Source organism: Homo sapiens, chromosome 15, assembly GCF_000001405.40.
Source record: "Homo sapiens chromosome 15, GRCh38.p14 Primary Assembly".
Taxonomy (NCBI): domain Eukaryota; kingdom Metazoa; phylum Chordata; class Mammalia; order Primates; family Hominidae; genus Homo; species Homo sapiens.
The window spans coordinates 43,572,341-43,592,824 of NC_000015.10; the positions used below are offsets into that span (position 1 = coordinate 43,572,341).

Genomic DNA, 20,484 nt, shown 5'->3' on the forward strand with positions numbered 1-20,484 from the left:
ACTTGAGCCCAGGAGGCAGAGGTTGCAAGGCTGCAGTGAGCTCAGATTGTAGCACTGCACTCCAGCGCGGGTGACAGAGTGAGACCTTGTCTCAAAAAAAAAAAAAAAAAAAAAAAAGTATCATTGTGGAGCCGTATGCAGAAGGTATATGTATAACCATGTTTGAGGAAATAAGACTCATAACATTGTCCCAAATTCCATACTCTTCTAATGCCAGAGCTGTGTTCTAGGTTACCTCTCTGGCTCAACAACATCCCAGAACATATTTTCCATTCCAGTAGGAACCTCCTGGATGCTCTGTGTCATGCTGTGCGTAAGTGCCACACCTAGCTGGATTCTCCAAATTATAAGGATAAGCAAGTTTTTTTTTTTTAATAGAATTCAAAAGAAGGGGCCTTCCTCTCATCTCCCACCTGCTAGCTCCTCACCTGTGTGTTGTCCTCATAAAGCATGATGACAATCTGGGTCATGTAGTTAAGCTCTGAGATGGCACTAAGATAATCCAAAGCTCGCTGCCATTGTGCATCCTGGGTCTCCTACCAAATGCAAAAAGAGGTAAGCCATTGCTTAAGGAAATGGGAGTCAGAGAATGAGCAGGGAGCCAATGAGAATGGAGAAAGCTTTCATTTGAGAAGAGTAAAAGAATGCTGGGAAAAAGCTGTTCACAGGCTAAAGAAGAAGGAGGATCCTTACATCAAGAAGTCCTCCATAACGGAAGACACTGAGCAGGGAGTGGACATGGCTCTCACTGGTGAAATAGAGACGCGTTCGAACGTGGCGACCTGGGGAGAGCACGCCTCGGGAGTACCTGAGATAACAGCTAAATCACTCACACAGTCAGTTAACCCTGTTCCCACCCTTCTGCAAACTCCCTCCTCCCACCTCAAAGACTTCTCTCCTTTCCATCCCAAAATCTTGTCTATTCTTGGTTCCCCAGGCTGTCCCAGCTTTGATTCCCCCAAGGCTCCCTGACATGCCCCTCCCTCCATCCAACACCCCTCCCAGCCCTCCCTCACAGGGGATGCAGCTTGTTGACAGACTCATCCTCGTGGGTTCTCTGCAGGTCAAGTAGTATCTTCCGCAACAGTGGAAGACAGAAGCCCACAGCAATTTCCAGTTTCTCCTCCCGACTGATCCCGTACTCCTAGGGGCCACAGGCCAGGAATAAATACCTCAATAAATCTTGTTTTCTCATGCCTCATATTCCCAGGACCAAGATCATGCCTGTCTTCACCTCACGTCTAGGGCTTCTTTCATATCCACTACATTCCCCCTCTTCCAGGTGTCTCCTGAATTAGCCTCCTGTACTTACCAAGAGCCAGAGTGGACCCTGAGAAATGTAGCAACTCAACCTATTCCTTCTCTGAGTTGCTTTCCTCTAGTCTCAAATCACCCTTCCTTTCCACCTTTTCTCTCTTTCCTTCCCAACACCCTCATCCCCAGGCTAGGTCCCTTATACAAGACACACCTGGGGAATGACCACATCAGCCAGTGCCTTAGAGAGACGGAGCAACTCTGCTGTGCCTTGAAGTCCCAGACTCCCATTGTGCTGCACATCATACTTGACACAGTCATAGATGTCAGGGATCTTACTGATATCATAGCGCCCACTCTTCTGTCGAAAGTCACGCTCCAGCTTGCTCCAACGCTGTAGCATTAGCTCTAGTGTCTCACTGTGGTAGAGCTGCAGGTCTGGAAGAAAGGCAGGAATCAGATAAGAATCAAAGATTTTACCTCCAACAAAAGACCCTGACAACTCTGAAGTACAGCCAGAGGGAGGAGGAGGCCTGGTCTCTGACATTTAGGAGAGGACACCAGAATGCCTGAGAAACCCATCCATACCTGAGACCTTGAAGGGAAGATAGTAGTATTCATACCCACCTACAGACCTGGGGTCCTGCATTCGTTCCCGGATCTGGTGGGTGAGGTTTTCGATCAGGGCAAATACCTGATCACAGACCTTCACAGGATTCTGGATGATAGTCATGGAGTTGAGCAGGGAAGTACTTCTGGTGGGAGCCAGCTATGAAGAATAGAGAGAAGAAAAGCAAGACAGGCTCGGCACTAATTGCCCAGATTCCTGTGAGTTTATTACACAGAGACTACTCACAATACAGCTCTGTATGTTGGTTCACTCCAGTGAGCATTCTTAGGTTACTGGGCATACTAGCAGTTCTAGGCCTTCAGGTAAGGGCACTGCTCTAGCATATAGTCGTCTAAGAGGGATTGATTTTAAGAGTCCAGAGAAAATAAAACAGACCTAAGTTCTTTTCTTGAGGGCTCTAGAATACACATGGAAAATACTGGAGAATAAAGATTGAACCAAAATCCCTCAAAATCTCCACAGAATGTTTTCATGAGTAGAGATCACAGATAACATTATCTTCTTCCTCTAAACAAGATGCTAGCCTGAGCCTAGAGTAGAAATGCTGCCTCAAAACTGGGTTCTGACTCAGGCTTGTAGGACAGTAACAGTCAATGAGAAATGTGGAGGCAGAATCAAGACTGTGGCTGAAAATGCACAATTCTGTTTAGGTCCTCACAAGTTTCATTCTTGCTCGCAAAAGAAGGCAAGGCAGAAAGGAAAGCTGCCTTAGCTTTTTTGAGTTTGACAGTGAGCAATGGATTGGGAAATAAAGGAGCAAGGTCCTGTTCCTTATCAAGTCCTACTCAGAGAACACAGAAAATCCTATGGGCTCACAGCAATGTGCTTAGCTACTTAACTCATTTAAGAACCAATCAGAAATGTTACACAACAATGTAAATACATGTAATGCTACTGAACTGTAAACTTAAAAATGGTTAAAATGGTACCACAATTTTAAAGTTTTAAACATTTTTTTAAAAGAACATATCAGAAATGAGGAGTGGGAAGAGTAGAAAACCACTGCCTGGTCATTTGTGGCCTAGATATGCAGGAAAAAGAACGACCATATTGGGTAATGGCATATAGTGGGATTAATACTATAAAGCAATGTAACAGCCTGGGCGTTGGAGTTAGACCCCTTCGGTTTGTATTAGCTGGATGACATGAGGAAAATTGCTTAGATTCTTCTGAGCCTAGGTTTCCTCATCTGTAAAATGGGAGGAAAGTCCTTGTGGTCTACAGTCCTTGTAGTGCTTTAAAGATGACCATCAATTCTTTGTCTTCCTTTCCTTCCCTTCCCTTAAATCTGGCTGGCCCTGTAACTGTTTAACCAATAAAAAATAACAAAGTTATGTTGTGCTATTTCTGGGCCTACACTTTAAGAAAGCTTCTAAGCTTCTGCTTTTGAATATCCCTAAAGCTACCATTTAATACTTCTGGCTATCATGCTACGGAAACCATATGAAGAACCATGTGGAGAAAAGAGGCACTGAGGTTACAGGGAGAGCATGAAGAGGGAGAGAGCCAGCCATCCCACAGTCCCAGCTGAACTTCCAGATGGTTCCAGCTCCAGTCAATATCTGACTGCAATTTCAGGAGAGACTCCAAGCAAGATCAGATGAGCCCAGAACTGTGAGAGATAATAAAATGGTTGCTGTTTTAGGTTACTACGTTTTGGGGTAGTTTATTATGCAACAATGGATAACTGAAACGTTCTTTTGTTCAGGATCCTTGGGATCAGAGCTGTGCTTTGGAACTGAGAATCTGTGGGACTTTAGAAGTTAATACAGTACATATGCCATATGTATATAATACCTCCATCAGGGCCCATGGCATAACCAAACACATTAATATTTCTGCCACAAAATGCACGACTATTTACACTAAGTGGGAAAACTAAGGATTATAAAAGTCTTATGACAGTTCGTGTCAGGTTTAGCTGCCAAATGAATCTCAATGTCAAGAAAAAAATCTTTTTAATTTTCAAAATTATGCATAAGAGATTGTGGACCTGTACTTATCTCAAAGGGTTGCTGTAAGGATTAAATAATATATGTGTAAAATAACTAAAACAGTGCCTGGCATGCAGTAAATACTGTTATTATTGATCCCTACTATTTAGAATTCTAGGAATTGGGGATCCAGGCTATTTTTGAGCCTGACCTGATCGTAGTCCTCAGGGCCAAAGGGCGCATCCTGCTGTAGAATATGGTGCAGCCGAGCCTTCACCCGGTGCTGGCAGCTGCTCAAGGAATCCCCATCGCTGTCCAGTAGCCCATTCATGTTGGCACTCTTCACCATTTGCACCAAAATGGGTGTCAGCTCCCCTTCTAGAGCCAGAAGGCCCTAAAGAGAAAGCACAAGGTCTATTTGTTTCCCTTGCAGGTTAGCATCCCTAGGCCTAGATGGTCCCAGGGATCGAACGGGAGCTGGTTGAAGAGATGGGGCCTACCCTCACTAATTATTCTCAGCTCATTCTCGGTAGTACAGAATGGGTCCGATACATGCAGAAACTTCTCTGAGTTGGCCTACAAGCACCCTGAAATGCTCCAACTGGTTCTCCAAACTCTCTGCTTCTCTACCTAATGGAAACTGGGACTACAGAACTGTAGTATGCACCTTGGCGAAGGCAGCAGCAGTCATCTGAACACGACCCTCATCAGAGGCATAGATCTTGAGATCGTGGCGGAAAGTGCTATGGAGACGAAGCAGCCCACAACCAGGGAAGCCAGCATAGTCACCTGGGGACAAAGGTGGGGGACCACAAATGGACTGCTATAAATACTCGTGGAAGAAAAAATATTCATTCCCCCACTGTCTCTGTCCCTTCATTTTCCCCAACTTACTCTCTAATCATTTTATCCTGGCCCTGCTATGCGTTCACTCCCCAAAACACTCACCCTGTCCTCCAGGGTACATGCAGCGAAAAGCTCGCCCCAGCTCCTCAGCCTGAACACGGCCAGCAGGAGTCAGTTCTCCACCCCACTTCAGTACCAGCAACAGAGATGGGGCCAGAGTTTCCCTCTGTGGATCTGAAGGAATAAGAGGCAGTGAATGGTCTAGATCTAAGAAAAATAGTGGGAACATCTAAACCTTAGGTCTTCTGAGGAGACCAGAGATGTAATTTGGGGTAAAGGTCATCTATAGGCTCAAGAAAAAGAGATCTTGTGGGGAAAGAAGATGGACAAAAAACATAAAAAGAACACAAGATCTGAGAGGTAGTGGTAAGGGGGACTACATCTTACCTTGCCCCTCATTAGAAGCTTTTACTCCATGAGGGTAGTAAGTCAATTGTACCTTCCGGTTTATACCTGAGAAGTGACCATACCTGCAGGATAAAGTCACAGTTTATGTTCTGTTCCAGCACCCCAATTCTCACTGTTATTGGCTCCCTTTTGCTATCCCCTTTCTCACATCTCCAGTACAGACTTCAGCTGCTCTAGTTTTCCAGTCTTCTCCTCGATCTCACCACCTGGTTCTTTCTCCAGTTCAGCCAACAACAGCCTTGTGATATCCAGCACCTCCTAGAGGAAATAATAAGGTATCCATGCAGAAGGCCAAGTCCTAGACAGTTACCTTTCCATCCTAGTCTTTTATCAAGACTCCCAATGCCATATCCTCTATCTCTCTCATGGCACTGTTCCTCCTGGTCAGATTCACTACCTTACCTGGAGCTGCTCAGGTCGCTTGAGTTTTAATTTCCCTGTCTTGTAGCCACCATGTTTTTCAAACAGAGCAAAAAACCTGAAGAAGTAACGAGAAGCTTCAGTGTGGCATGAGACAGTCAAAGCCTCCAGGACTTGCCCCCCATGCAGTCTTCCTCACAAAAACCTATTTATGTAAATTAGGACACTCTTCTGACCTTGGGTGTTTCACTTCCATCTTCATCTTCTGCTTGGGAGTACGATCCCCATGACGAATAATTGCAATGACACAACGAAGTTCCATCCTAAGATCATAAATGTTATCAGAGCCTCTCCCACACCCCCATCCCACCTGCTGTCATCACATTACTTGACATGTCAAAAAAACAGAGGGGCTGAGCAGGGCTCAGGCCTGTGATCTCAGCACTTTGGGAGGCTGAGGTGGGAGGATCACTCAGGCCCAGGAGAAACATAGGGTGAGCATGAGCAACATAGGGTGAGTCTGTCTCTATAAAAAAAGTTAAAAGAAAAAAAATTATCCAGGCATGGTGCCACACGCCTGTGGTCCCAGCTATTTGGGAGGCTGAGGTGGGAGCATCACTTGAGCCCAGGAGATAGAGGCTGCAGTGAACCATGAGTGCACCACTGCACTCCAGCCTGGGAGACAGAGCCAGATCCTGTCGCAAAAAAAAAAAAAAAAAAAAAAAAGAAAGAAAAAGAAAAGGGAACTGAGATTAGGAATATAAATGGAGGCTGGGCATGGTGGCTCATGCCTGTAATCCCAGCTCGTTGGAAGGCCGAGGCGGGTGGATCACTTGACGTCAGGAGTTCAAGATCAGCCTGGTCACATGATGAAACCCCATCTCTACTAAAAACACAAAAATTAGCCAGATGTGCTCACCTGAACCCAGGAGGTGGAGGTTGCTGTGGGCCGAGATCATGCCACTGCACTCCAGCCTGGGCAACAGAGCTAGACTCTGTCTCAAAAACAAACACAACAAAACAAAAAAAACGGCGGGGGAATATAAGTGGAGTTAAGAAGACTGTGTATAAGAGGCCTAGGCTCCGTTAGTCAGATAGTGTGGGGTCAGGAAGTAACCATTAGCCTGGCTTAAGGAATCCCATGGGTCTTAAGTAGGTTACTCCAGATTTTTTGCTTTTGCTTACATAGTGCCAGATGTGGTGGGAACAATGGGAATGTCCTCAGCCTCCGTGGGGATGGACCATGGAATCTGGAACTGTGGGGCAAGCTCCCGCATTATGGTGTTCCTAGAAAGAGAAACAAAGAAGCCCTGTAAAAATGAATAAACCAGAACTACTCAGAGGAATGAAGCTCACAAAAACAAGCAGGCTGCAGGCAGAAGAATACCTTAATATAAAGTCTAAAAACATACAAACAAATACCCATATTTATGTAGTACAAATATAAATAAATACAAGGAATGACAAACACCAAATTATGGATTGTGGTTCCCTCTGGGGATGGGGAGGGGATGTTACTAGGGAGGAGTACATAGGGGCTTCGATTATATACACACACACACACACACACACACACACACACACACACACGTATGTGTACATACACACACGTATGTGTACAGTTTGTGTATATACACACATGTATGCGCATATAGATACACACATATGTGTATATAGATGCACATATGTGTATATAGATGCACATATGTATGTGTATATATACATATATACGTACATATATACACATATATACATATATGTGTACGTGTGTGTGTGTGTGTGTGTGTGTGTGTGTGTGTATATATATATATATATATATATTTTTTTTTTTTTTTTTTTTTTTTTTGAGATAGAGTTTCACTCTTGTTGCCCAGGCTGGAGTACAATGGCATGATCTCAGCTCACTGCAACCTCCACCTCCTGGGATCAAGTGATTCTACTGCCTCAGCCTCCCAAGCAGCTGAGATTATAGGGAACCACCACCACGGCTGACTAATTTTTTTTTTTTTTGGGTTTTTTTTTTTGAGATGGAGTCTCACTCTTGTCACCCAGGCTGGAGTACAGCGGCATGATCTCGGCTCACTGCAATCTCTTCCTCCCGGGTTCAAGTGATTCTCCTGTCTCAGCCTCCCAAGTAGCTGGGATTACAGGCGTCCACCAATATGCCTGGCTCATTTTTTTTTTGTATTTTTAGTAGAGATGGGGTTTCACCATGTTGGCCAGGCTGGTCTCGAAGTCCTGACCTCAGGTGATCCACGCACCCTGGCCTCCCAAAGTGCTGGGATTACAGGCGGAAGCCACTGAGCCTGGCCAATTTTTTGTATTTGTAGTAGAAACGAGGTTTCACCATGTTGGTCAGGCTGGTCTCAAACTCCTGACCTCAGGTGATCTACCCGCCTCGGCCTCCCAAAGTGCCAGGATTACAGGCGTGAGCTACCGCACCCGACCTATATTCCTAATATTTTATTTCTTAAGCTAGGTGGTGAATACATAGATGCTCACTATAGTCATCATTCCTCATATATTTCTGAATGGTTTATACATTACGTGACGAATTTCTTGGAAAGTCAAGTTGCAGAGCAGTATTATAGTATGACCACATTTAGTAAAAGAAATACAGTTTGGATATGGCAGAAAAAGATAAATTGTTATGTCTAAAACTGTTAACAACAATGGTCTCTGGGAGGGGCAGTGTTAGAAAGGCAAGGAGCCTGAGGAGCCCTTCCTTTCTTATTTTTATTTTTTAATTTAATTAATTAATTAATTTATTTATTTATTGGGACGCAGTTTTGCTCTTGTCACCCAGGCTGGAGTGCAATGGCACTATCTCAGCTCACTGCAACCTTCACCTCCTGCGTTCAAGCGATTCTCCTGCCGCAGCCTCCCTAGTAGCTGGGATTACAGGCATGCTCCACCATGCCTGGCTAAGGTTGTATCTTTAGTAGAAACAGGGTTTCACCATGTTGACCAGGCTGGTCTCTAACTCCTGACCTCAGGTGACCCACCCGCCTCAGCCTCTCAAAGTGCTGAGTTTATAGGCATGAGCCATCGCGCCTGGCCTGCTTTTTCACTTTTAAATCATATTTGTGATATTTAAAATAAAGCAAAAACTTTCAAATATTCTTCTGTAAGCCCATTCTCCCCAGCGCAGACCACTATGTCTCTTACCCCAGAATCTTGGCACAGTCATCGTAGTATTTCATCGAGTTCTTGACAAAACTAAAGCCATTGACATCACACACAAAGGAATGACCATTGGCACGAAGAAGGTCAAATCCACAAACTGTTTGCTGCAAGGAAAAGAAGAAAGATGAGAACAAGACAGTTACTCTTCCCGGACCCCTGTTCCTTCCTTTCTCCTTCATTTCACAACCTCCCTGGGCCCTCCTCTACCTTGAAAGCTACGCAGACTTTCCTGGCCACCAGCTTTTCCATGGCAGTCAGCATGACTGGATATCGAATCTCTTTCCCCTCACTGTCTCGTTCAACCTTCCCATCCAAAGCTGGAGATTTTCTAGCTTCAGCATGGGCATAATCTGGCCCCACTGTATACACCTGCAGGTACATAGCATCACTGAGTATGCCCACAGCTCACCCTGTATATGAGAAGACAATATGAGCACTAGGTCTGTAGACGAGTTTCAGAGTAAAACAACAACAACAAAAACAAAACAAATCCTGAGCATTAAGGAGACTGACCAACATTTTTCCTACTGAGCCTTACTGAAGTATCATTATGAATTTCTCCTCGGGACTCCACTACTGTCAGGTAGTCCTTATTAAAAAATAATTTACAAACATTATACCATTTTTCTAAGTCAGCCTTGCCCTTGCTCTGATAGTGAAAATGTGAATGTCTGTATCCTCCACTCATTATCTTCACCTGAATATGAAAGCCAATCACATTCACATCATGTTATTTTCTAGGACCTCCTCCCCATATACTTCCACCTGCTTCCCAAGTACCCCATCCCCACCCACACATTTGTAACCTCTTAAATCCCTATATCCACCATAACCTTGACATCTGTGCCATCTGTTGGCATAAACTCCTCATAGATGTACGACCCCGTCTTTCGGACGCTGCTCTCAGGAGAGTAAACACTGCTTCGGCTGCCAATCTTCAAGAGAAAAAAAGAAGAAAAAGCAATGTTGCCTCAACTCTCTGTTCTGTCCCCAAATTCTCCATCTTCCTTCCCCACAACCTCATCCTTGCCCTTGCACCTCTCTGACTCCCCAGATGCTCAAATATCCCCCCTACCTTACGAAAGAGACGCTGGCTTCCTCCTCCAGCTGAGCTGGGGTAGTAGATGTAAACATTGTGGTCTTCTGCACTCACTGGCTTCTCCACAAAGGGCTTGGGAAAGACAGCTCCATTGACCTCTACTTGGTCTTCACCTTCTATCAGGTTGCATTCTGAAAGGTGGATGTGTAGTCATTCCTATGGCCTAAGGTTGTGGAATATTACTAATTCTCATTTCCCCAGGTTTTCATCTCTATAACCCTCAAATTTTTATGACTATATCTTTGTAATAGATGAGGTAAAATCTCTATATAACAGGTCCAACCCTCTGTCCGAAGACTCATGGCTCTAACCCCACCCATAATCCAATAACCAAAACCCCACATAGATAGGTGGTATACAGGAGATGTCTAGAAGATGGAAACGTGGCTAAGTCATAGAAAGCAAGGAAAGGCAGGACTAACCCTCCCTCAGGCCAGGTACTCACCCTCAGGCCGGGCAGGATCACGGTTGAGCACAGCATATCGAGGCAGATCAATACCCTCTTCCTGCAGGATCCGGTACACCTCCCTCCTGTCACCCCCAAATAAAATAGCTGGGAGAGGTGGGAGTAACTAAGGGGAGAGGCTGGGGATTTCATTTGCACAGGATTAAAAGACACCAGGGCACAAAATTATGGTACAAAAATTAGGCATGTTGGTTTGACTCTGCCCCTCTCACAGTGGGTTCCCCGAACACGCATGATCCCAAAGCCACCCATCTCACTGGTCAACAGGAAGTTATACCTATCTTGGATGTAATACTGCATGGCCAGATCATTGATAAGAAAGGGGTTTCGAAGCTTGGAGTAAGCAACAGCTTTGTCCAGAGGAAAGCCTGGGATGGAGACAGGAAATAAAGAGACCAAAGGAAGGGAGAGAAAGAGAACGAGAAAAGAGCAAGAGAGATACAAAGACATATTAAAGCTATTAGCTGCCACTGAGCTCCTCTACCCATTCAACCCATCACTTATTCTTCTTCCCAGCTCCCCAAGTCTAGGATATTTATCAAGAAAAAGTAAAACAGAAGTTATTTTTACAGTCCTTCCAGAGACCCAATTCTGTCAGAGATCCTAAGACACTTAGAGTTGTCCTGAGGTTAGACTATAGGCTTTAAACCCCCGGCAACTCCTCCAAGATGCAGGGAAAGCAAACTCCTTGGCACCATTCTCTAGTGTGTCACAAGTAGCTGACGGCTCTTTACTAAGGAAATAAGACAATAAGAACCTCATTTCCCGAACCAGTATTCCCACCACCATTCCCTCCCATTTTCCTTCATAGACCCCAACCTTTGGAGTGGAAAGAGATGAGGCAGTGGCAGGATGGCCAGTTTTCCACAGGTTCATTAAGGATTACATCTTCTCCCAGAATGACAACAGTCAGGTAGTCAAATCTGCAGAGTCGCTCTAGGATTTGAGTCATTGGCTTGGACTTGGATTTCTTGGTCATGGCACAGATGCCAACAATGATCTGAGGTTCAGGAGGCTACAGAGAGGAAGTGCTATCAGAAACTCAAGAACTTCCCACCAATATCACCCCCTTCTGGGAACACTGTCTTATCTTCTTAGGGCACAGAGTTTCTTGCCAGGACTCTGGACCTATGGGATAAAGGGTGCCTCCTAACTTTGATCGAGGTTGAGGCACAGCTAGGGATTCCAACTGCCTACAGAATAGGAGCCTTTCCACAGTAGGAAATATGTGCTCAAGCAGGAGAGCTAGAGAACCAACAACCATGAGACGACAGGAAGATCCTAAGGGCAGGGGTTTCTTTTTTTTTTTTTTTGGAGATAGAGTCTCACTCTGTCGCCCAGGCTGGCATGCAGTGGCACGATTTCTGCTCACTGCAACCTCCAACTCCCGGGCTCAAGCGATTCTCCTGCCTAGACCTCCCGAGTAGCTGGGATTACAGGCGCCCACCACCACACCCAGCTAATTTTTGTATTTTTAGTAGAGACAGGGTTTCACCATGTTGGACAGGCTGCTTTTGAATTCCTGACCTCAAATGATCTGGCCGCCTTGGCCTTCCAAAGTGCTGGGATTACCCACGCCCGGCCAGGGCAGGGATTTCTAAGAGAGGCAACCTACCAATCTCTACTGCCCCTCCCCTAAACTAGGATAGGGCCTGTTTATGACAGGGAGTCTATGCATTCGGAAAGAACAGAGAGGTATCTCTAACCAATAGAATCTTAACTCTTTAGGACAGAGGCTCCAACCCCAAGTTACATCATTTTCCCCATTCTTACCACTTCATCCTCCTCATCCTCAAGGAGCTCGCTGTCACTCTCTTCTGGCCTCATGCCTATTCCACGGGTGCCCAGCCCCTCATCTCCAGCTCCAAGGAAGAAGTGGGCCGTGGTACTCTCGCCCTCACTGGCCGTCAATGACCACATCCCTGCCGGAACACCCACTCATCCCGCTCTGCAGAGGGGGGTACCCCATCAGCTCAGAACCCAAGCCCCCTGGCTGTGGGTGGGGCTGGGGATGGAGATGAAAAGCATAAGAGGGAACTATAAGGGGAAACAAAACAAAGCTATAGGAAGAAGGATCAACAAGAAAGGAGGCATATGGGCTATGACTTGAGATGCTAAAAGAGCCATAAAAGAAAAGCAAGGTATCCCTTTTCCTCCCTGCTCACCCCACCCCAACCAATAAATTAGTAAGAGGATCAGATAATCAGCCCTTACAATGCCGGCATGTCCCTGATTTGGCCAGCAAGAAACATTAACTTCAGGCAGCAAATGGGAAAGGCAGGTCCTCGAGGAAGGCTACTCTTGAGTCCTACCAGAAGAGAAGGTTAGAGTGACATTTCAAACTTTGGACTCATTTCACAATGTTCCTAGCCCTTTTCCACCTCCTCACAGTAGTGTTGAATTCAGTAATTTAATTCAAAGGCAGAGGAATGAGAGAGCTCAGCTGCCTTTCCCCTTAAACCTCTTCTTCATTCTTCCCAAAGATTAACTCAAAAAATATTTATTGAGGGCACCCTACATTCTAAGCATTATATCAGAACATTAAGGCCAGGCACACTGGCTTACACCTATAATCTCGGCGCTTTGGGAGGCTGAGGAGGGTGGATCACTTGAGTCCAGGAGTTCAAGACCAGCCAGGCAACATGTCAAAACCCAGTTTCTACAAAAACATTCAAAAATTAGGCAGGCATGGTGGTGCATGCCTGTAGTCCCAACTACTTGGGAGGCTGAGGCAAGAGGATCATTTGAGCCCAGGATGCAGACGTTGCAGTGAGCTGAGATCACGCCATTGCACTCCAGCCTGGGTGACAGAGTGAGACCCTCTCTCAAACCAAAAATTTAAAAAATAATAAAACCCCCATGCTCTCTCTCTCCTTCATCTACTCCACCTTAAAAGACAGTTGCACAGCCAGATACCATGGTTCATCCCTGTAATTCCAGCATTTTGGGAGGCTGAGGCAAGAGGATCGCTCGGGCTTAGGGGTTTAAGACCGGCCAGGGCAACATAGCAAGACCTCATCTCTACAAAAAAATTTTAAGGCTGGGTGCAGTGGTTCATGCGTGTAATCCCAGCACTTTCGGAGGCTGAACCAGGATGACTGCTTGAGCCTCGGAGTTTGAGACCAGCCTGGGCAATATAGGTAGACCTGACCTTTACAAAAGCTTTTTCTTAAATTAGCCATGCATGGTGGCACGTTGCCTGTGGTCCCAGCTACTTGGGAGGTTAAGCTGGGAGGACTGTTTAAGCCCAAGAGGTCGGGACTGCAATGACCCGTGATTGTACCACTGCACTCCAGCCTGGGCGACACAAAAATACCCTGTTTCGGCCAGGCACGGTGGCTCACGCCTGTAATCCCAGCACTTTGGGACGCCGAGGCGGGTGATCACGAGGTCAGGAGATCGAGACCATCCTGGCTAACACGGTGAAACCCCGTCTCTACTAAAAATACACAAAAAAAATTAGCCGGGCATGGTGGCCGGCTCCTGTAGTCCTAGCTACTGGGGAGGCTGAGGCAGGAAAATGGTGTGAACCCGGGAGGCGGAGCTTGCAGTGAGTGGAGATCATGTCACTGCACTCCAGCCTGGGCAAAAGAGCAAGACTCCGTCTCAAAAAAAAAAAAAATACCGTTTCAAAAGGAAAAAAAAAAAATTTCTTTTCTTGAGATGGAGTCTCGCTCTCTTGCCCAGGCTGGAGAGCAGTGGCATGACCTCAGCTCACTGCAACCTCCACCTCCCGGGTTCAAGCAATTCTGCCTCAGCCTCCCGAGTAGCTGGGACCACAGGCACACCCCACCATGCCTGGCCAATTTTTGTATTTTTTTTTTTTAGTAGAGACGGGGTTTCACCATGCGGTCCAGGCTAGTCTCGAACTCCTGACCTCATGATCCACCTGCCTCGGCCTCCCAAAGTGCTGGGATTACAGGCGTGAACCGCCATACCCGGCCAAAAAGTTTTTAAAAATTAGCCAGGCATAGTGAGTGGCACAAGCCTGTGGTCCCAGCTACTCAATAGACTGAGGTGGAAGGTTTGTTTAAGCCCAAGAGGTCAAGGCTGCAGTGAGCTGTGATCGTGCCACTGCACTCCAGCCTGGGTGAGAGCAAAACCCTGCCTCAAATAATGATGATAATAATAATAATAATAATAATAATAATAATAATAATAATAATAGAAGACAAATGCCCAAGTTCAGAAAACCTGTTCAGGGAAAGAGGTCTAGTGTGGTTGGGAGGTTGAGAATACAGGCATCCATACAGTAGTCTCCAGCCCACTCTCAAACTGAAATCTCAATGTTCTCTCTAGTGTCCCCTGGTACTATAGAACCAGTGCTAGTCTAGGCCAAGGTCCCTCACACCAGGAGCTACAGTGAAAAAAAAAAAAATCCTGCCTAAAACTGTACCAGTAAGAATATCTTAAGACTTTAACTTGAACCAGCAGTTCCACTTCTGTGTACACACAAGTAATGTAGTTGTTCTCAACCAGCTGTGATTTTGCTACACAGGGGACTTTTGGCAGGAGACATTTTTGGTTGTCACAATTGGAAAGGTACTATTGGCGTCTAGTGAGTAGAAGCCAGGGATACTGCCAAACATTCTAAAATGCATAAGATATCTCCTCACAACCAAGAATTATCCAGCCTTAAATCTCAGTAGTGCTGAGGTAGAGAAACCCTGCTGTAGAGAAATTCTCCTACATAAGACTTTTGTGAGGAACTTCTTAATCCTCTTCATCTCTCTGTTGGTAATGAGAAAAACTGAAAACAGTTCAGAGGTTACAAGTAGAATCCATAAATATAATGTCATATATAGAAATGATAGACTAATAGCAATGTAAAAATAAAAGCTATATGTAATAAATGGACAGTTTCCAAATACAAACTGCAGAAATATACCTGCAGTACATCGCTATTGTATAAATACAAATGTTACATATGGTTTATGACTGCATATATAATTAGTAGAAGTATAAAAACAGGGACTGGAAAGAAAGACATCAAATTCATGATAGTGGTTACCTTTGAGAAGGGAGAATGGAACTGAGGATTCAAATGGTACTCCACAACCTTATCTACAATGTTTATTTCAATTGTAAAAAAGATCTGAAGCAAATACACAGGTTAACATTTGTTCCTATGAATTGTAAGGATATGAATATCTGTTATTATTTTCCAAAAATAAAAATTGAGTCACACATCAGCAATTTTCCGTGGTCTCCAAAAGTTCTCAGAAACACTGACCAATGACTCTAGTGAAAGCCACAAACTCCTTAAGTAAATGAACTTGTCTTACAGAAATAATATCTTATATATGTAATTAGTCTCATAGATTTTGAAAACAGTCTTGAACAATTATTTTCTCTATCTTTATTTCAAACTCTTTCATTACAACTGGGGTTTGCAGTTTTGACTAGAAAGTTCTAGCTGACCACCAGGCACAGTGGCTCACACCTGTAATCTCAGCATTTTGGGAGGCCAAGGCAGGCAGATCACTTGAGGTCAGGAGTTCAAGAACAGCCTGGCCAACATGGCGAAACCCCGCCTCTACTAAAAATACAAAAAATTAGCCGGGTGGGGTGGCGCACGCCTGTAATCCCAGCTACTCAGGAGGCTGGGGCTGGAGAATCGCTTGAAACCAGGAGGCAGAGGTTGCAGTGAGCCGAGATCACGCCACTGCACTCCAGCCTGGGCAACAAGAGTGAAAATCCTGTCTCAAAAAAAAAAATAAACAGAAAGAAAGTTCTAGCGGACCTTTATATAGACCTCGACCTCTCGACCTTTCCAGTTTTCATTATCTGCTGTCTTTATTTCTCAACTGCCACGGGGGTGCGACATTCTCCTTAGGCTTAATATTTCTTGTTGTGCACTGCAGGTCTCACACACACACTCTTACCCCTGATAAAAACGCTATTTTTTTGAATTCCTTTTCAGTGACCTGACCCAATTTCCCTGACTTGGGACATTCCCAAGGTCCCTGTATAGTTTGAGCAAGTAGAATTTTGTTGCATTCTTTATCTTCGCTCTGAAGCCGGGACTTTCTCTCAACTCTAAGATTCCTAACCCTTTGCCCTTTCTTCCATTGAGTCCTTCCTCGTTTTCCACTGAATGTACACTCATGTTCTTGAAATTCTACTGCAACTACATAACGGGGCATGGTAACTAATAGAATAGGGAAGAGACTGTTTACAAATATGTGGCTGAAGAGAGACGAAAGGTCTAAATTCCCAGTTAACAAAGCAAAAATAGAAGCCTGACAGAAATAGCTATGAAATAAGCCAGGATTTATTTAGATGCACCTCTGGGAGAAGATGGGCTTTAATGTGGTGTTCCCAGAGCCGCTTCCCTGTTTTCCATGCTCTTCTCCCCATCCGCCTCTCCCCCAAGCTTTGTTGTGAAAGAAAAGAAAACTTCACACTCCACACTGGGCTAAAGGGCAGTCTTACTCTGACAGGAATCAATGTGAATGGAAGGAAAGAAGCAAGGAGATAGGCGAGTAAGGTAACGAGGGAGGGGCAGGCAGGCAATCTTCTCAGGAACATCTATGTTAGATCTGGAGAAGGGGTAGAAGGGAGGGTAAACGGTGTAACTTCTTTAACCCTTAGAATTTAGGGCTCCTTGCATAGTCATCTAATTTCCTAAATCACTATGCACTTGATGGTGGACTCCATTGGTAGCGAAGAGGAAATATCAATACAAATTCCAGGCAGGAATACTTCCAACACAGAAAAACTCCTCAGGCCACCAACACTATTTTCTGCCCACCTTGAACAGTGGACGCCTCACTTCCTTCTTAATGCAATTTTTAATTCTTCAGACACACTCCTCATTCCGACTCTGATCAACTGTGCTCCTCTCCCTGTTCTCAGTATCAGCTGCTTCGTTTCGCCTTCTTTCCCCAACTTGCTATGACTCTTGCCCCAATACTGACTGCAGCCTCCCCATCCCACCCCGCATCATTGGTCAACTAATTCCATTAATCCAACTAATCCTCGCACTCACTGATTGCCCAGTATTAAACTCCTTCACCCTCTCGCACGAGTCATCATACTTGGTAACATCTTTATATTGACCCCTCAGTGACCCCCCACAATGACGACCTGCCATCCATTCTTTCCTCACATCACCCCTCCCTCCAGGCTGTCTTCTCTCAGCCGCAACCCATTCCTCAAGCTACCCCCTTCCTCCTGGACTCCAGCCCCACCCCTCCTGGCGCAGATCCCTTCCACCTTGATCCTCTCCCCTGTACGACTCCGCTCCTCCATCCTCCCACAGGACCCCCTCTTCCTCACGCAGACCCCCACATACCTATCTCCTCTCCCGCCGACCCCCTCCTCGGTACTCTCCTCGCACAGCTCCGGGTCACGAATACCGCCCTCGCATCCCGACTCCACTAGCCTTTGCCCGCCCCCGCCTTCGCCGCCTCACTCTCCCTACGCTGACACTAAGGCCCCTCCGCTGGGCCTCTTCCCAAAGCGGAGCCCACCCGGAACGAACCCCAGCCCTGGGAACCCACCAAGCCCACTCTACCGCGCCCACCCGGTCCGATACCGCCCCCAGCCCCAGCCACTCCCCCACCGCCCCCGGCCTTCACTCACCCGCCTCCCTCCGCTCGCGCAGCCGAACCTGCAGGCAGCGACACCTGACAGCGGCCCAATCAAAGCGCGACTTCTTTGCGGTTCCACCAATCAGCGAAGGGCGCGCACCGGTAACAGAGTCAGGCTGCGTTGGCCGGCGCTTCTGCGCGGAGGAGCGTGACCCCTAGTGGCTCTGGGAGGGAATGCAACTTGATGCTCCCTTCCTTTGATTTCTTAGTGTGTCGCCAAAGTCCAGAAGCGTGGTCTAGACAGAGACGTTTCATGAGACGACGGGGTGGGTGGGAAGCCTCATGCTGAGAAAGAGGAAGAGGCAGAGTTTGTGCCATTGCTGTTCCTTCAGAGCAAAAACCAGGTCTTCCCTTTGTCTTATGAGACAAAACAGGGTCTCATATATGTACAGATCCAATAAATAAAGGTTGAAAATTTTAACAGATGTAAAGAGGACTGATAGGGAGACTGGAGACAAAAAAGAGACAAGGAGAGAAGCAGATAAGAAAGTTAAGGGAAGGAACAGAGAGACATTTACAGAGGAGGCAAGAAAGTGGATGGACCTGGAACTCTAGACAAATTGATTCCTATCTCCACAGCCTGCTTTTTCTCTATGCTCCAGACAAAGCTGGATTTGAATCCTGGCCTTACCTCTAATAGCTGTGCAGCCTTGAGCGACTCACTTAATTTCTCTGAGCCTTTATTTTTCTCATCCATAAAAATAGGATTAAAAACCTAGGGCTGGGCTCGGTGGCTCACGCCTGTAATCCCAGCACTTTCGGAGGCCAAGTTAGGCGGATCACTAGGTCAGGAGGTCGAGATCATCCTGGCCAACATGGTGAAACCCCGTCTCTACTGAATATACAGAAATTAGCCGAGTGTGGTGGTGCGCACCTGTAATCCCAGCTACTCGGGAGGCTGAGGCAGGAGAATCGTTTGAACCCGGGAGGTGGAGACTGCAGTGAGCCGAAATGGCGCCACTGCACCCCAGCCTGGTGAGAAAGCCAGACTCCTTCTCAAAAAAAAAAAAAGAACCCAAAAAAACCCCCCAAAAACCTAATTAAGGCCAATTGTAGTGGCTCGCGCCTACAATCCCAGTACGTTGGGTGGCCGAGGCGGGCAGATCGCTGGAGTGCAAGGAGTTCAAGACCAGCCTGGTCAACATGATGAAACTCTGTCTCTACAAGAAATGCAAAAGCTAGCCAGGTGTGGTGGCGTATGCCTGTGCTCCCAGCTACTTAGGAGGCTGAGGCGGGAGGATCACTTGAGCCTGGGAGATGGAGTTTGCAGTGAGCCAAGATCACCTCACTACATTCCAACCTGGGTGACAGAGCGAGGCCCTGTCTCAAAAAACAACAACAACAAAACACCTCACTTAAAGGTACTGATAATATGAAAGCATTTTGTATTGTATATGTTATTGCTCTTATTATCCTCGCATCTTCACTTGGGTTTCCCTGGTCAAGACAGTTGTTCCCTTTTCCTTCTCTGCAATATTAGGGGTCTTGCCACTTTTCCAGTCGTGCCTCATTGTACTGACCCCACAAGGCCTCCTGAATGGACATAGAAATGATTCTAATGGCTTGAATAGATTATTCTAAGAGGAATAGATGCCTCCCTAGTTCATGCTCAGGCTCATACCCCCTCCACCACTCTAGCCCTTCAAACTAGCTATTACAGCATCTTCCAGGTATTTAACTCCCCTTACTATCCCCATGAAAATGTAGACTCTGTCCCCAGTAATCATTGGAACAATCCAATTCAACTCAATGAAATAATACATATAAAAGTTCCTTGTAATTGTAAAGTGCTTTAAAAATATTAAATACTATTGACAACAATAATTCTTATTAAATAAATGAAATACCATATAACAATACCATATATTGATTACTTCCATATGCTGCAAAATAATTTTTTAAATGAGCATTAATATATTATGTGCTTGTAAAAGGCACACAAGGGATAAGAAAAGTGCATAAGTACATGTGTTTTCTCAGTGGAATTATTGTTCACATTTGGGAAGCTACTCTCTAAACTTGGGTAATTTCTCTACTCCTCTGGCTGTCTTATTTCTCCTTCGGTAATTATCTCTTCCCACTTCCTATTCCTTAGTAACACCCTCTCAATCAAATAGCAACCCTACTGCTCTGGAAGATTATCTCCCTATTTATCTGGATAAATACACGCTATTCTAAGAAATTATATTTATTTACTCATGGCTACTTTTCAACCTAGGTAAAGAGGCCCCACAACACAGGTAACATTTTCCACACTACAGCTGCATAACTCTGTTCTCTAATAATTGATGTCTTACCAGAAGAAGAAGGGATGGACCCAAGAGAGAAGTGGACACTTCTAAGAATACCCACAAATGACAAAGGTAGAATAAAAGGACACAAGGAAGGCCTAAGGAGAATGAAGGGAATGAGAGTAATATGGGGGAATTTTCTATGTAAAGGGAATTCTCTTTCCCAAATACTCTCTGTTAAGATTTCCAAGTATCTGTCTTGTGGGTACACCAGGATAGCAGAGGGAAGGGACTAATGCCACGGTGCTACTCCACCTTAACTGACCCTCCACGCTGAAGCCCCTCATCTCTATTTCAACTCTAGCATTCATTCTCCTTGCTACCAGGACAAAGGTCAAATCATACCTGGAGCTG

The 20,484-nt window shown here is 45.6% G+C and overlaps 1 protein-coding gene across 56 annotated transcripts in view; it reads right to left on the reverse strand.

Annotated features, from left to right (window-relative positions):
* Positions 1-17,913, reverse strand: part of PPIP5K1 (diphosphoinositol pentakisphosphate kinase 1) — a 56,779-nt gene extending 38,866 nt beyond the window's left edge. For 5 of the 56 annotated variants that reach the window (NM_001354396.2, NM_001354391.2, XM_047433381.1 and 2 more), the window contains exons 1-22: positions 17,832-17,913; positions 12,018-12,192; positions 11,064-11,259; positions 10,522-10,612; positions 10,224-10,309; positions 9,755-9,909; positions 9,513-9,614; positions 8,887-9,048; positions 8,662-8,783; positions 6,679-6,780; positions 5,730-5,816; positions 5,536-5,611; positions 5,282-5,391; positions 5,113-5,195; positions 4,768-4,899; positions 4,487-4,608; positions 4,031-4,213; positions 1,882-2,023; positions 1,469-1,692; positions 1,017-1,144; positions 694-808; positions 429-536 (exon numbers count right to left, since the gene is read on the reverse strand). In NM_001354396.2, the coding sequence (NP_001341325.1) occupies positions 429-536; positions 694-808; positions 1,017-1,144; positions 1,469-1,692; positions 1,882-2,023; positions 4,031-4,213; positions 4,487-4,608; positions 4,768-4,899; positions 5,113-5,195; positions 5,282-5,391; positions 5,536-5,611; positions 5,730-5,816; positions 6,679-6,780; positions 8,662-8,783; positions 8,887-9,048; positions 9,513-9,614; positions 9,755-9,909; positions 10,224-10,309; positions 10,522-10,612; positions 11,064-11,259; positions 12,018-12,164 (2,673 nt within the window). In that variant the 5' untranslated portion in view covers positions 12,165-12,192; positions 17,832-17,913. Of the gene's footprint in view, positions 1-428; positions 537-693; positions 821-1,016; positions 1,145-1,468; positions 1,693-1,881; positions 3,498-4,030; positions 4,214-4,486; positions 4,609-4,767; positions 4,900-5,112; positions 5,196-5,281; positions 5,392-5,535; positions 5,612-5,729; positions 5,817-6,678; positions 6,781-8,661; positions 8,784-8,886; positions 9,090-9,512; positions 9,615-9,754; positions 9,910-10,223; positions 10,310-10,521; positions 10,613-11,063; positions 11,260-12,017; positions 12,282-12,458; positions 12,553-16,998; positions 17,392-17,541; positions 17,604-17,831 lie in introns of those variants that run through there. The other 51 variants (XM_047433390.1, NM_001354393.2, NM_001354387.2 and 48 more) reach the window with 26 other exon arrangements.